Source organism: Homo sapiens, chromosome 19, assembly GCF_000001405.40.
Source record: "Homo sapiens chromosome 19, GRCh38.p14 Primary Assembly".
Classification (NCBI taxonomy): Eukaryota; Metazoa; Chordata; class Mammalia; order Primates; family Hominidae; genus Homo; species Homo sapiens.
Genome location: NC_000019.10, coordinates 46690443 through 46703266, shown reverse-complemented (window position 1 = coordinate 46703266; position 12824 = coordinate 46690443). Strand labels below are relative to the sequence as shown.

General features: G+C 52.1%; 1 protein-coding gene across 7 annotated transcripts in view, besides 1 other annotated feature; it reads left to right on the top strand.

The window, feature by feature from the left end:
• The window catches only part of PRKD2 (protein kinase D2), a 42799-nt gene that overhangs the window by 13848 nt on the left and 16127 nt on the right, over positions 1-12824 (top strand). For all 7 annotated transcript variants that reach the window (NM_001079881.2, NM_001079880.2, XM_005258716.3 and 4 more), the window contains 8 exons: positions 2155-2232; positions 2315-2468; positions 5417-5534; positions 6033-6110; positions 9134-9392; positions 11282-11334; positions 11460-11532; positions 12561-12667. In NM_001079881.2, the coding sequence (NP_001073350.1) occupies positions 2155-2232; positions 2315-2468; positions 5417-5534; positions 6033-6110; positions 9134-9392; positions 11282-11334; positions 11460-11532; positions 12561-12667 (920 nt within the window). The remainder of the gene's footprint in view (positions 1-2154; positions 2233-2314; positions 2469-5416; positions 5535-6032; positions 6111-9133; positions 9393-11281; positions 11335-11459; positions 11533-12560; positions 12668-12824) is intronic.
• Positions 5196-5696: an enhancer, noted in NCBI's record as "H3K4me1 hESC enhancer chr19:47200828-47201328 (GRCh37/hg19 assembly coordinates)". NCBI's record gives its function as "activates a minimal SCP1, AML or CMV promoter by ChIP-STARR-seq in naive H9 embryonic stem cells {active_cell/tissue: H9 hESC(naive)}" and the evidence as "EXISTENCE:reporter gene assay evidence [ECO:0000049][PMID:30033119]".

Sequence of the window (12824 nt, the reverse complement as noted above, 5' to 3'; positions counted from 1 at the left end):
AATTCTAGAATCAGAACCATAGCATTCAAGAATTCCGAATGATAGAATTCAGCTAAAATAACAACAGAACTTTAGATTACACATCTTAGATCTCCCAAGTTATAGACTCTCAGAGCATGAGAATTTTGGAACCATGGGATTTGAGGGTAATAGAAACATAGGCACATCAAATTTGAGAGTCTTAGACGTCTAGAATCATATAAGCTTGAAACCATCGTAACCTAGAATCCTGGAAATTCTAGACTCCCAGAACTTTGAACAATCAAATTCTAGAATCCAGCCAGGTGTGGTGGCTCATGCATGTAATCTCAGCACTTTGGGAGGCCAAGGTAGGTGGATCACTTGAGCCTAGGAGTTTAAGACCAGCCTGGGCAACATGGTGAAACCCTGTCTCTACAAAAAAAATTAAAAATTAGCCAGGCATGGCAGCATGCATCTGTGGTTCCAGCTACTTGGGACTCTGAGGAGGGAGGATTGCTTGAGCCCAGGAGGTTGAGGCTGCAGTGAGCCATGATTGTGCCACTGCATTCCAGCCTGGGTGACAGAGCAAGAACTTGTCTCAAAAAAAGAAAAAAAAAAATTCTAGAACCTCAGAAGCCTAGATCCACATAAACTTAGAAACATCCAATTCAAGAATTTACTGGAACAATCAAATTCTAGAATCTTAGAAGCCTAGAGCTAAAGAAGCATAGAAACATCAAATTCTAGAATCTTGTATGTATAGAATCCTAGAACCTTGGAATCTGCAGATTCTGGAGGTAGAGAAGCCTAGAATTGTAGAACCCTAGAACTGTCAAATTTTAGAGTTTAGATATATAACACCCTAAAATCTTGGACATTAAAGAGTCTTAGAAGTGTTGACTCATAGATGTCTAGAGTTCTAGAAACTTGGACATCAAACTCTGAAGCCTTAGAAATACGGAATCAGGTCAGGGGCAGTAGCTCACACCTGTAATCCCAGCACTTTGGGAGGCTTAGGTGGGTGGATTGCTTGAGCCCAGGAGTTCAAGACCAGCTTGTACAACATGGAAAGACCCCATCTCTACAAAAAATACGAAAAATTAGCCAGGCATGGTAGTGCGTGCCTGTAGTTTCAGCTACTCAGGAGGCTGAGGTGGGAAGATCGCTTGAGCCTGGGAGGCAGAGGTTGCAGTGAGCCGAGATGGTGCCATTGCACACTCTAGTCTGGGTGACAGCCAGACTGTTTCTTAAAAAAAAAAAAAAAAAACAAAAAACAGAATCATAGAACCTTCATAAAATAGGTTTTTAGTAAACTCTAGAATCTTCGATGTATAGTGTCCCTAGAACCGTGGAAACACTGAACTCTACAGCAATGGTTCTCGACCAGGGGCCGTTTTGCTCCTAGGGGATGTTTGGCAAGGGTTGGAGATGGTTTTGTTTGGTACGCTGGGATAGTGCTACTGGCATCCAGTAGGTAGAAGTCAGAGATGCAGCTAAACATCCTACAATACACAGAGCAAGTGCCCTAAAACAAGGAATTATCCTGGGCACTGTGTTAGTGTCACGGGTTGAGGAACCCAGCCCTAGGGTGTTCAGAGTCTGGAGTCACAGCACATTAGAACCAATAACACACACACACACACACACACACAAGTCGGGCGCGGTGGCTCACGCCTGTAATCCCAGCACTTTTAGGAGGCCAAGGCAGGTGGATCATCTGAGGTCAGGAGCGCGAAACCAGCCTGACCAACATGGCGAAACCCCGTCTCTACTAAAAACACAAAAAAATCAGCTGGGCGTGGTAGTGGGCGCCTGTAGTCCCACGCCCAGCTAATTTTTGTATTTTTAGTAGAGACGAGGTTTTACCATGTAGGGCAGGCTGGTTTCGAACTCCTGACCTCAAATGATCTGCTCTCCCCGGCCTCCCAAAATACCGAGATTACAGGCGGGAGCCACTGCACCCAGCAGTCGTCGGGATTTTGAGTCTAGCCCTCCTACTTAATCAAGACCCCCCCGATGGTTGGGAAAACTGTGGCTGAAAGTGGGAAAATGACCAGGGCAGCAGCAGCCAGTGTTCTTACCCAGACAGCAAGAGTAGACTCTTTTGAGCCTGAGGCTTAGGGTCAAGGTTCAAGCCTTCCAGGTAACCTCTCTTCCCCTTCTCACCCGTTCCCTTGTTCCCTGTCCTACCAGACTGCAAGTTTAACTGTCACAAACGCTGCGCCACCCGCGTCCCTAATGACTGCCTGGGGGAGGCCCTTATCAATGGAGGTGAGAGGCTGGGGGGATGCTGGGGAGAAAGGGGAAGGGGCAGGACTGGGTGGAGACCCCTCTGATGCCTCCGTCCCCACAGATGTGCCGATGGAGGAGGCCACCGATTTCAGCGAGGCTGACAAGAGCGCCCTCATGGATGAGTCAGAGGACTCCGGTGTCATCCCTGGCTCCCACTCAGAGAATGCGCTCCACGCCAGTGAGGAGGAGGAAGGCGAGGGAGGCAAGGCCCAGAGGTATACACAGAACCCTCCAAGAGACCCTGGGGGAAGACCCTCCTGCACAGTGAACCTCAATTTCTTTTTCTCTACAATGGGCTGACATCACCTCATATTTATAAATTTTCCCAGTTCCTGAGGCAAACCTTTTAAAGCACTACAATTTTTTTTAAATAATTTTTTGTTTGAGACAGGGTCTCGGTCTGTCGCCCAGGCTGGTGCAGTGGTGCAGTCTTGACTCACTGCAGCCTCGACCACCTGGGCTCAAGCGATCCTGCCACCTTAGCCTCTCGAGTAGCTGGGACCACAGGCTCGTCCACCACACCCAGCTAATTTTTGTATTTCTGTAGAGACAGGGTCTACCCTATGTTGCCCAGGCTGGTCTTGAACTCCTGACTCCTGAGCTCAAGTGATCCACCCGCCTCAGCCTCCCAAAGGGTCTTGCTTTGTTGCCCACTGGAGTGCAGTGGTGTGATTGTGGCTCACTGTAACCTCAAACTCCTGGGCTCAGGTGATCCTCCTGCCTCAGCCTCCCGAGTATCTGGGACTACAGGGATGCACTGCTATCCCTGGCTAATTTTAGACGGCGTTTCGCTCTTGTTGCCCAGGCTGGAGTGCAGTGATGCAATTTCAGTTCATTGCAACCTCTGTCTCCTGGGTTCAAGCGATTCTCCTGCCTCAGCCTCCCAAGTAGCTGGGACTACAGGCACCCGCCCAGGCCCAGCTACTTTTTTTGTATTTTTAGTAGAGACAGGGTTTTGCCATGTTGGTCAGGCTGGTCTTGAACTCCCAACCTCAGGTAATCCACCTGCCTCGGCCTCCCAAAGTGCTGGGATTACAGGCATGAGCCACCGCGCCTGACCTATATTCCTCTTCTTTTTTTTTTTTTTTTTTTTTTAAGATAGGGGGTCTTGCTATGTTGCCCAGGGTGGTCTTGAACTTCTGCGCTCAAGCAATCCTCCCACCTCAGCCTCCCAAAGTTCTGGGATTACAGGTGTGTGCCACTGTGCCCCCAGCCTACACATTTTTAAACTATACACGGAGTTCATACTTAGTCAGCTCCACTGGAATGTGAGCTCAGGTGCATGAGGGCAAGGATATTTTCTGCCCTCCCAGGTGCCTAGGACAGGACTGGCTCAGATCAGGCACTTCCTATCTGGGTGTGGCGTGAATGTTTATTGAGAAAGCACAGTTCACACAGGCGCTGGAGGGTGACAGCCCAGATCCCAGCTCTACCACTTCACTTGCTAGGCGCTTCCCTGTGTGCCACGGTTTCCTCCTGGGGCGATGAGGTACCTACCCCACGGGGTGATAAACCTGGGGTAGGGGTAAGGGGGCACCCTCACAGGTGCACTGGAAAATATTTAATGAGCACCTGCTGTGTTCAAGCACACAGCTATGAACAAAAGAGGTAAAAGTCTGCCCTTCTGGAGCTGACTGCCTCAGTGGGGAGACAGCTAATAAATGCATCCATAGCATCGGGTATTGGTAATGGTGATAAAAACAAGAGGAGATGGAGAATGGGGGACATGCTATCTTAGGGTCCTTCAAGGAGACCTCGCTGAGGAAGTGGCAGTTGAAGGGAGGGGAGGGAAGGAGCCTTGTGGGGCTCTGGGGGAAAAGGCTTCCAGGCAGAGGCAACAGCGAGTGCAAAGGCCCTGGGGTGGAGGCACCGTGTTCCAGGGACAGCAAAGAGACCCATGTAGCTGCAGCAGGGAGGGCGAGGGGAAGAGGGTTGGACAGAAAGGGGATGGGTAAGCCAGTCACAGTGACGACAGAGTGTTTCCTGCGGTGCCTCCCAACCCAAGCAGCCTGAAGCCGCAGGTTCCCTTTCTCCCACGTCTTTCCTGGGAATGCCTAGTAACACCGTCATACACTGTCAAGAGTTGGACCTTGAGGGATTGGGGGTGGCGGGTGTGGGGAGAGGCAGCCCATTTCACAGATGGGGAAACTGAGTCTCAGGCAAAGAGATGTGATCAAGGCCACCCAGGTTCTGATCTAGCACAGGGATCCAGAGATTGTTGGTTCCAGAGTTGAGCAAGTCACTTAATCTCTCAAATCTCAAACTCCTGACCTCAAGTGATCCCCCCACTTCTGCCTCCCAAAGTGTTGGGATTACAGGCATGAGCCACCATGCCCAGCAGGCCACTTAATCTCTGTAGACCTTCCTTACTGTACTAACAGCATCTGCACAAATGAGGGAGGTGAGGCCCAGAGAGGTTGAATCACTTACCCAGTGTCACACAGCTGGCTCCACAATTGCTGGACTAAATACCAATTAGCACTTACTGGAGGTCCTCTGTATGCCAGGCACTGTACTAAGCTCCGTAGAAAGGTTTCCATTCCTCATAGCATCCCCTTTGGGTGGACAAACTGAGGCATGAAGAGGTTAGGTAATTTGCTAGGCAGCCTGACTTCAGAAAGGCCTACTACAGAAGCCCTCTCAAGAATCTCCTTCTGGGCCAGCGTGGTGGCTCACACCTGTAAGCACTCTGGGAGGCCGAGGCGGATGGATCTCGTGAAGGGATTCTAAGGGTGGGACTAGGGGCAGGAGTTAGGGAAGGAGTTGAGGCAAAGAGTTCGAGACCAGCCTGGCCAACATGGTGAAACCTCATCACTACTAAAAATACAAAAATTAGCCAGGGGTGGTGGCGTGCACCTAATGGTCACCGTGATTGTCCCGGCCACTCAGGAGGCTGAGGCACGAGAATCGCTTGAACCCGGGAGGCAGAGGTTGCAGTGAGCCGAGATCGCACCACTGCATTCCAGCCTGGGTGACAGAGCGAGCCTCTTAAAAACAAACAAAAAGCAACTCCCGGGTGTGTGTTGGGGGGAAAATGTCAAAACAAACCAAACAAACAAAAACAGTCCCCAACTCCCTAGTTTCCCAGAGATGCCCCCTGCATTCCCAAGCAGCATGGTCACTTTCTGCATGTGACTTCTCACCCCTTCCTCTTCCTTCGCAGCTCCCTGGGGTACATCCCCCTAATGAGGGTGGTGCAATCGGTGCGACACACGACGCGGAAATCCAGCACCACGCTGCGGGAGGGTTGGGTGGTTCATTACAGCAACAAGGACACGCTGGTGAGTGGCCGGGGCGGGGCCGGGTACGGCGGAGCGAAGGCTGGAAGAGGGGCGGCTCAGCTTGAGTAGGCGGGGCTAGGTGGGTGGGGCTGGAGCTAGGCGCGAGCGGGGCCAGTAGTGGGCTGGGCCGTGCTGGAGGCGGGGCTAGAATTAGAAGTGTGGGCTGTAAGGGTGGGACTACGGGCAGGAGTTAGGGAAGACCCGGGGCTCAGGGCAAGGTCAGGGGCGGGGCTAGAGTTAGGGGAGGAGCTTGGCTGGAGGAAGAGGGCTAAGTGGGGGCGAGTCTGGGGTTAGGGCGTGGGGGCTGGGCTAGGGTTAAGGCTAGGGGCGGGGCTGGGGTTAGGGCGTGTGGTGGGGTGGGGTTACGGCGTGGGGTAGGTGCTAGAGTTACGGCGTGCACGTGGTGCTCCAGGCACCTGGAGCCCCAAGCAGCTCCACGGGATAGGGACTGGGCAGGAAAGTCTGGCGGTTCACGTGACTCTTCAAACATCTCTGCAGAGAAAGCGGCACTATTGGCGCCTGGACTGCAAGTGTATCACGCTCTTCCAGAACAACACGACCAACAGATACTATAAGGTAAGCCTCCGGGCTTTCAGCTCCCTCGGACTTCCCGCTGTGCCCACAAACTTTCCCACACCTCCTCCTACCCCCAGTTACTCCAGACAGATCCTGCAAATCACACCCTCTGCCCACCCCCAGCCTCCCTGCTTCCAGCTCATCAGCAAGTGCTGCCCATCCGATTCTGGCCCCACCACTTTCCAGCCAGGGGGACTCCGGGCAGGTTCCCTTACTTCTCAGTGCCTCACGCTTCTCACCTGCAAAATGCCTCAAATGCTAATACTCACCTCAGGGCTGGTGCGAGAATTCAAAGAGCCAATCCACTAAACCAATTGGCTTAAGGCGTGGTATATATTAAGCTCCCAGTAATTCTAAGGCTGTTCTCACTATTCCTTTATTTTTTGTTATTTATTTATTTTTTGAGACAGAGTCTCACTCTGTCGCCCAGCTGGAGTGCAGTGGCGCGATCTCGGCTCACTGCAACCTCCGCTTCCCGGGTTCAAGCGATTCTCCTGCCTCAGCCTCCCACCCTAGGACTACAGGTGAATGCCACCACACCCAGCTAATTTTTGTATTTTTAGTAGAGACGGGGTTTCACCATGTTGGACAGGATGGTCTTGATCTCTTGACCTCATGATCTGCCCCCCTCGGCCTCCCAAAGTGCTGGGATTACAGGCATGAGCCACCGCACCCGGCCTCACTATTTCTTTATAATTAATGTATTGCATTGTGTGCGTATTCGTCACCACCTCCCATGCCCACACTGTGTCCCAGCCACTGTCTTCCACCTGGATGGTTTCAGCCTTCTCCTTGCAGGGTCCTTGCTTCTGACCTCACAACCTCTGTCATTTCCCCCACAGCCAGGGGAGTCTTCATTAAAACCGTCAAACCCCCCAGTGGCTCCCATTGTCTTAGAGTAATAAAACCTGGACTCCAGCTGTTACCTGCCCTGGAGCGTCTTCCTTGAACTTTCCATGGCTGGTTCCTTATCATCTTCCCATTTTGCTCAGACCACACCATCTAAAATGCTGTCCTTGGCCAGGCGTGGTGGCTCACGCCTGTAATCCCAGCGCTTTCAGAGGCCGAGGTGGGCGGATCACTTGAGATCATGAGTTCGAAACCAGCCTGGCCAATATGGTGAAACCTTGTCTGTACTAAAAATACAAAAATTAGCTGGGCATGGTGGCGGGTGCCTATAACCCCAGCTACTTGGGAGGCTGAGGCAGGAGAATTGCTTGAACCTGGGAGGTGGAGGTTGCAGTGAGCTGAGATCGCGTCACTGCACTCCTGCCTGGGCAACAGAGCAAGACTCCATCTCAAAAAAATAAAATAAAATAAAATATAATGCTGTCCTCACCATGCCCCCCCGACGTGTCCATGTCATCACCTGGTTTTATGGGCTGCCTAAGTCATTCATTCTTTCCTCTCTCCTACCTCCCTCCTTCCTCTTTTGACACGTTTCCCACCCCATAGTCCCTGTGCCTTCTGTCCCGCCTGGGTCCCCTCAGCCTCCTTCCTGGTTCTCTGTCTCCATCTCATTCTATTCCATCTGCCCTCCGCACACAAGCGGATGATGCTCAAAAGCCTTCAGTGGCTTCCTAGGGCCCTTGGACAAAGCCCAGGCTCTTCCTTGTGGCCCGCAAAGCCCTGTGTGGCCTCATTTCCTCCATTTATTATCAAACGTTTATTTTTGAGACGGAGTCTCGCTCTGTCACCCAGGCTGGAGTGCAGTGGCGCGATCTTGGCTCACTGCAACCTCCGCCTCCGGGGTTCAAGTGATTCTTCTGCCTCAGCCTCCCAAGTAGCTAGGATTATAGGTGTGCCACCACGCCTGGCTAATTTTTGTATTTTTAGTAGAGATGGGCTTTCACCATGTTGGTCAGGCGGGTCTCGAACTCCTGACTTTGTGATCCGCCTGCCTTGGCCTCCCAAAGTGTTGGGATTACAGGCATGAGCCACCATGCCCAGCCCATTTATTTATTTTGAGACAGGCTCTTGCCCTGTCTCCCAGGTGCAGTGGCATGATCATGGCTCACTGTAACCTCTGCCTCCCTGGCTCAAATGATTCTCCCACCTCCACAGTAGCTGGGATTACAGGTGCGCACCACCACACCTGGCTAGTTTTTTTATTTTTTGTAGAGATGGGGGTCTCATTGTGTTGCTCTGGCTGGTCTCAAACTCCTGGGCTCCAGCGATCTGCCTGCCTTGGCCTCCCAAAGTGCTGGGATTACAGGCTTGTGGCACCATGCCTAATTTTTAAATTTTTTGTAGAGCTGGGGTCTCACTGTGTTGCCCAGGCTGGTCTTGAACTCCTGGGCCATCTGCCCACCTCGGCCTCCCAAAGTGCTGGGAGTACAGGCACGAGCCACCACATCCGGCCATCAAATGTTTATCAAGCTTTTACTATGTCCAGGCACCGCCCATGTGATGGGGATACAGCTTGGCTTTTGAGCATAGCCTTTCCTTAGGGCCTTTGCACATGCTGTTCCCCTACTCCTTGCCAACTGGCTGCTTCTTACCTTTCTGGTCTCTGCTTCAATATCACTTCTGCCAGTAATTAGTATTATTATTATTATTTTTGAGACGGAATCTCACTCTGTCGCCCAGGCTGGAGTGCAGTGGTGCGATCTTGGCTCATTACAACCACCGCCTCCCAGGTGCAAGCGATTTTCCTGCCTCAGCCTCCCGATTAGCTGGGATTACAGGCGCACACCACCACGCCTGGCTAATTTTTGTATTTTCAGTAGAGACGGGATTTTGCCATGTTGGCCAGGCTGGTCTCGAACTCCTGACCTCAAGTGAGCTGCCCACCTCGGCCTTCCAAAGTGTTGGGATTACAGGCATGAGCCACCGCACCTGGCCTCTGCCAGTAATTATAAAAGAACAGTGAGAACAGGCTTAGAATTACTGGGAACTTGTCTGACCACTGTGCAAACCAGGCCCATCCCTATCAACATGGATCCCGTGTATCCTTCTGGGTAAGCACTAGAATTCCAAGGTCTGCCTGGCATCCTCACCTGTGCTGGTTCCACGTCCTGCAGGAAATTCCGCTGTCAGAAATCCTCACGGTGGAGTCCGCCCAGAACTTCAGCCTTGTGCCGCCGGGCACCAACCCACACTGCTTTGAGATCGTCACTGCCAATGCCACCTACTTCGTGGGCGAGATGCCTGGCGGGACTCCGGGTGGGCCAAGTGGGCAGGGGGCTGAGGCCGCCCGGGGCTGGGAGACAGCCATCCGCCAGGCCCTGATGCCCGTCATCCTTCAGGACGCACCCAGCGCCCCAGGCCACGCGCCCCACAGTAAGTCCTCCCACCTCGGGTCCTTGAGAGAATAGATCTAGATGGGTGGGGCACGGTTCTGGGGAATGGAAGGGCCAAAGAGGAAAGTGGGCAATGGTGGGGTTGAGAACGCAGCTTCTGGACTCAGCAGGCCTGGGTTCAAACTCTGTTAATCACTCCTGTTAATCCCAGCGCTTTGGGAAGCCAAGGAGGGAGGATCACTTGAGGCCAGGAGTTCAAGACCAGCCTGGGCAACATAATGAGATTCCATCTCTACAAAAAATAAAAACAATTAGCCAGGTGTGGTGGTGCACACCTGTAGTTCCAGGTACTTGGAAGGCTGAGGCAGGAGAATTGCTTGAGCCTGGGAGTAGTGAGTCATGATTGCATCACTGCACTCCAGTCTGGGTGACAGAGCAAGACTCTGTCTCCAAAACAGAAAAAACAACAACAACAAAAATCCACAACAAATCTCTGTTAAGCTCCTGGCCTGATATGTGGCCCTGGGCATATCACTTCCCCTCCATGAGCCTTGTCCCAGGTGCTGATAAGTCCTCATGCACTTACTGAGTGCCTCCTCTGTGCGGGACAGTGCTGGGGACCCAGTGGTGGCCAGGACAGCCCAAGACCTGCCCTCATGGGGCTCAGAGTCCAGTAGGGCAGAATACCCATCTTCAGAGAGTGACAGTCCAGGGTGGGCAGGGTTGGGACAAGGAAGCTAGGGAGCTAGAGGAGCCCAGAGGGGTACCTGACCCAATCTGGGTATATAGGGGGGCTTCCTGGAGGAGGTGACATCTGAACTGAGATCTGGAGGCCGAGGCAGGGTGAGATGTGGGAAAGAAAATGGGAGGTCATTTTAGGCAGAGGCAAAAAATGTTGAGAGAGTACCAGGTTCCCACCCTCTGGAGCTTATAATCCAGTGTGGGTGACAGACATTGATCATTAACCCATACAAGCAACGAGTGTGATGCAGAGCATTTGCGAGAGTAATCCAACTTGGTCCTAGGAGTGACATTTGAGCTTACACTTGAGGATGAGGAGGATTTAGCTAAGTCTAGGATGAAGGAAAGAGTATTCCTGGCAGGGGAAACAGCATATGCAGAGACCAGAAGGCAGAAGAGAGTTTGCTGTATTTGAGGCCGAGCAAGGAGGCCAGTGTGTCAGGAATAGCATGTTGGGGGTAGAAGTCAGAGGTAGATGAGGGTCTAGGCCATGGCTTTTAGGCCATTTAAGGGGCTCAGGCTTCTTCCTGAGGGCACTGGGGAGCCATGGCAGAGTTGTGAGCAGAGGAGGGACAGGGTCAGTCTTGTGCCTCAGTAAGATCCCTCTGGTTTCTCTGTGGGAGGTGAGTAGGAAGGGGCAGGATTGGGGCAAGGAGACCAGGGAAGGGGCTGTGGGGTGAGGACCCAGAGTTGGGGGGCGAGCAGGGGCCTAGACTGGTGGAAGAGAGAGACATTCAAATGGCAGAAGGATCGGACTTTAGAAATGTCTGGCTCTGGTTGGGTTTGTAGGGGGAAAAGTTCAAGGGAAGATGCAGGAGTCAGTCTGGGCTTTCCCTCCAAGACTCAGTTTCCTTCTCTGTACAATGGGGTCAGTCTGCCTCCCCTGGTGCTGAGATCCTGGGGTAAAATGCTCAGCAAAATCATCTGTAACATCACTCCTTTAGCCACTCAGCACATCTCATTTACTCCTCCTGGTGGCTCTATGAGGGAGGTCCTTTTATTATTCCCATTTTCTAGATGAGGAAACTGAGGTTCGTAGTGGACAAGTCACCAGCCTGAAGTTGCACATTGTATCGAACATTGGATTCAAATCTGGGTGGCCTGACTCCCAAGTCTGCTTTTGCAGGTATGGGTGGAGATAATCCTGAGCCTGGAGTCCCCTCACCTCTGTCTCTCCCCTCTCCCTAGGACAAGCTTCTCTGAGCATCTCTGTGTCCAACAGTCAGATCCAAGAGAATGTGGTGAGACTCCTGCCCCCACCTGATGCCCTCCCCTCCCACAAACCCTCCTCAGCTCTCTCGTCTCCTTGACTCCCCCTTCCCCATTTCCATTTGCACCCCTGACCTGCCCTGTCTTCACCCTGTAGGACATTGCCACTGTCTACCAGATCTTCCCTGACGAAGTGCTGGGCTCAGGGCAGTTTGGAGTGGTCTATGGAGGTGAGGACACTTCAGAGCTAACCCAGAGGGAGCCCCGGGCTGGGGGAAGCTGCTGTGGCTCCAGCCCTTTCTTTCTGGCTCCAACCCTTCCTTTCTGATTGGTCACATGCTCACCTCCCATGTTGATTGGCTTAGCTAGATCCTGGGTGGACTGATTGCAGGTTCTCCTTTTCTCATTGGGAAAAACCAATGGACATTCCTCCTGTTATTAATAGGAAGGGTAAATTCGGCACTCTGATTGGTCACAGAGGTAGATTTTGATTGGATAGGGAAGGTAGATTCTGCACTCTGATTGACCACAGAGCTAGAACCTAGATTCTGATTGGATAGAGTAGATTCTGCATTCATATTGGCCACAGAACTAGTTCGTAGATTCTGATTGGAAAAGAGGGTAGATTCTGCACTCTGGCCACAGAGCTAGATCCTAGATTCTGATTGAATAGGAGGGTAGATTCTGCATTCTGATTGGCCACAGGTCTAGATCCTAGATTCTGATTGGATTGGAGGGTAGATTCTGCATTCTGATTGGCCACAGGCTAAATCCTAGATTCTGATTGTATGGGGCGGGTGGTAAATTTTACACTTTGATTTGCCACAGAGCTAGATCCTAGAGTTCAATAGGACAGGGAGGGTAACTTCTACACTCTAAACTCTAAGACTCAGTTTCCTTCTCTGTATAATATGGTCAGTCTGCCTCCCCTGGTGCTGGTGTCTCTCCCCTGTCCCCAGGACTCTTACGGGTCACACAAAACTAGATGCTAGATTCCGACTGGTTATAAATCCAGTTTCCCATGTTATACATTCCCTTCTTCGGAGCTTTTTGTTTGTTTTTTGCTTTCCTTCTTTCTGCCTTTACTCCCAAGGTGCACCTCAGGTGGCCTTTTCACGTATCTCCTGGGGCCTTCCAACTCTGCCCAACTCTGGCTGTCTCCATGGTGGGGGGCAGAGGTTGGCAGAGGTGGAGATACTCCTGCCAGGACTGGGTGGTCTTGCTCTCTCATCCCCCATCTCTTCTACTCCCTGTGCAGGAAAACACCGGAAGACAGGCCGGGACGTGGCAGTTAAGGTCATTGACAAACTGCGCTTCCCTACCAAGCAGGAGAGCCAGCTCCGGAATGAAGTGGCCATTCTGCAGGTAACCACCAGGCCGCCTTCCCTTTCTGCTTCTTCCTTTCATGGGCCAGCTGACCCAGTGTAGGGGTGGTCAGGGAAGGCTTCCTGGGGGAGGGCATGTGCATGTTGAGACTGAAGGGGAGAAGGTGTTCTTAGCAGAGGGACCAGCCTGTACAAAG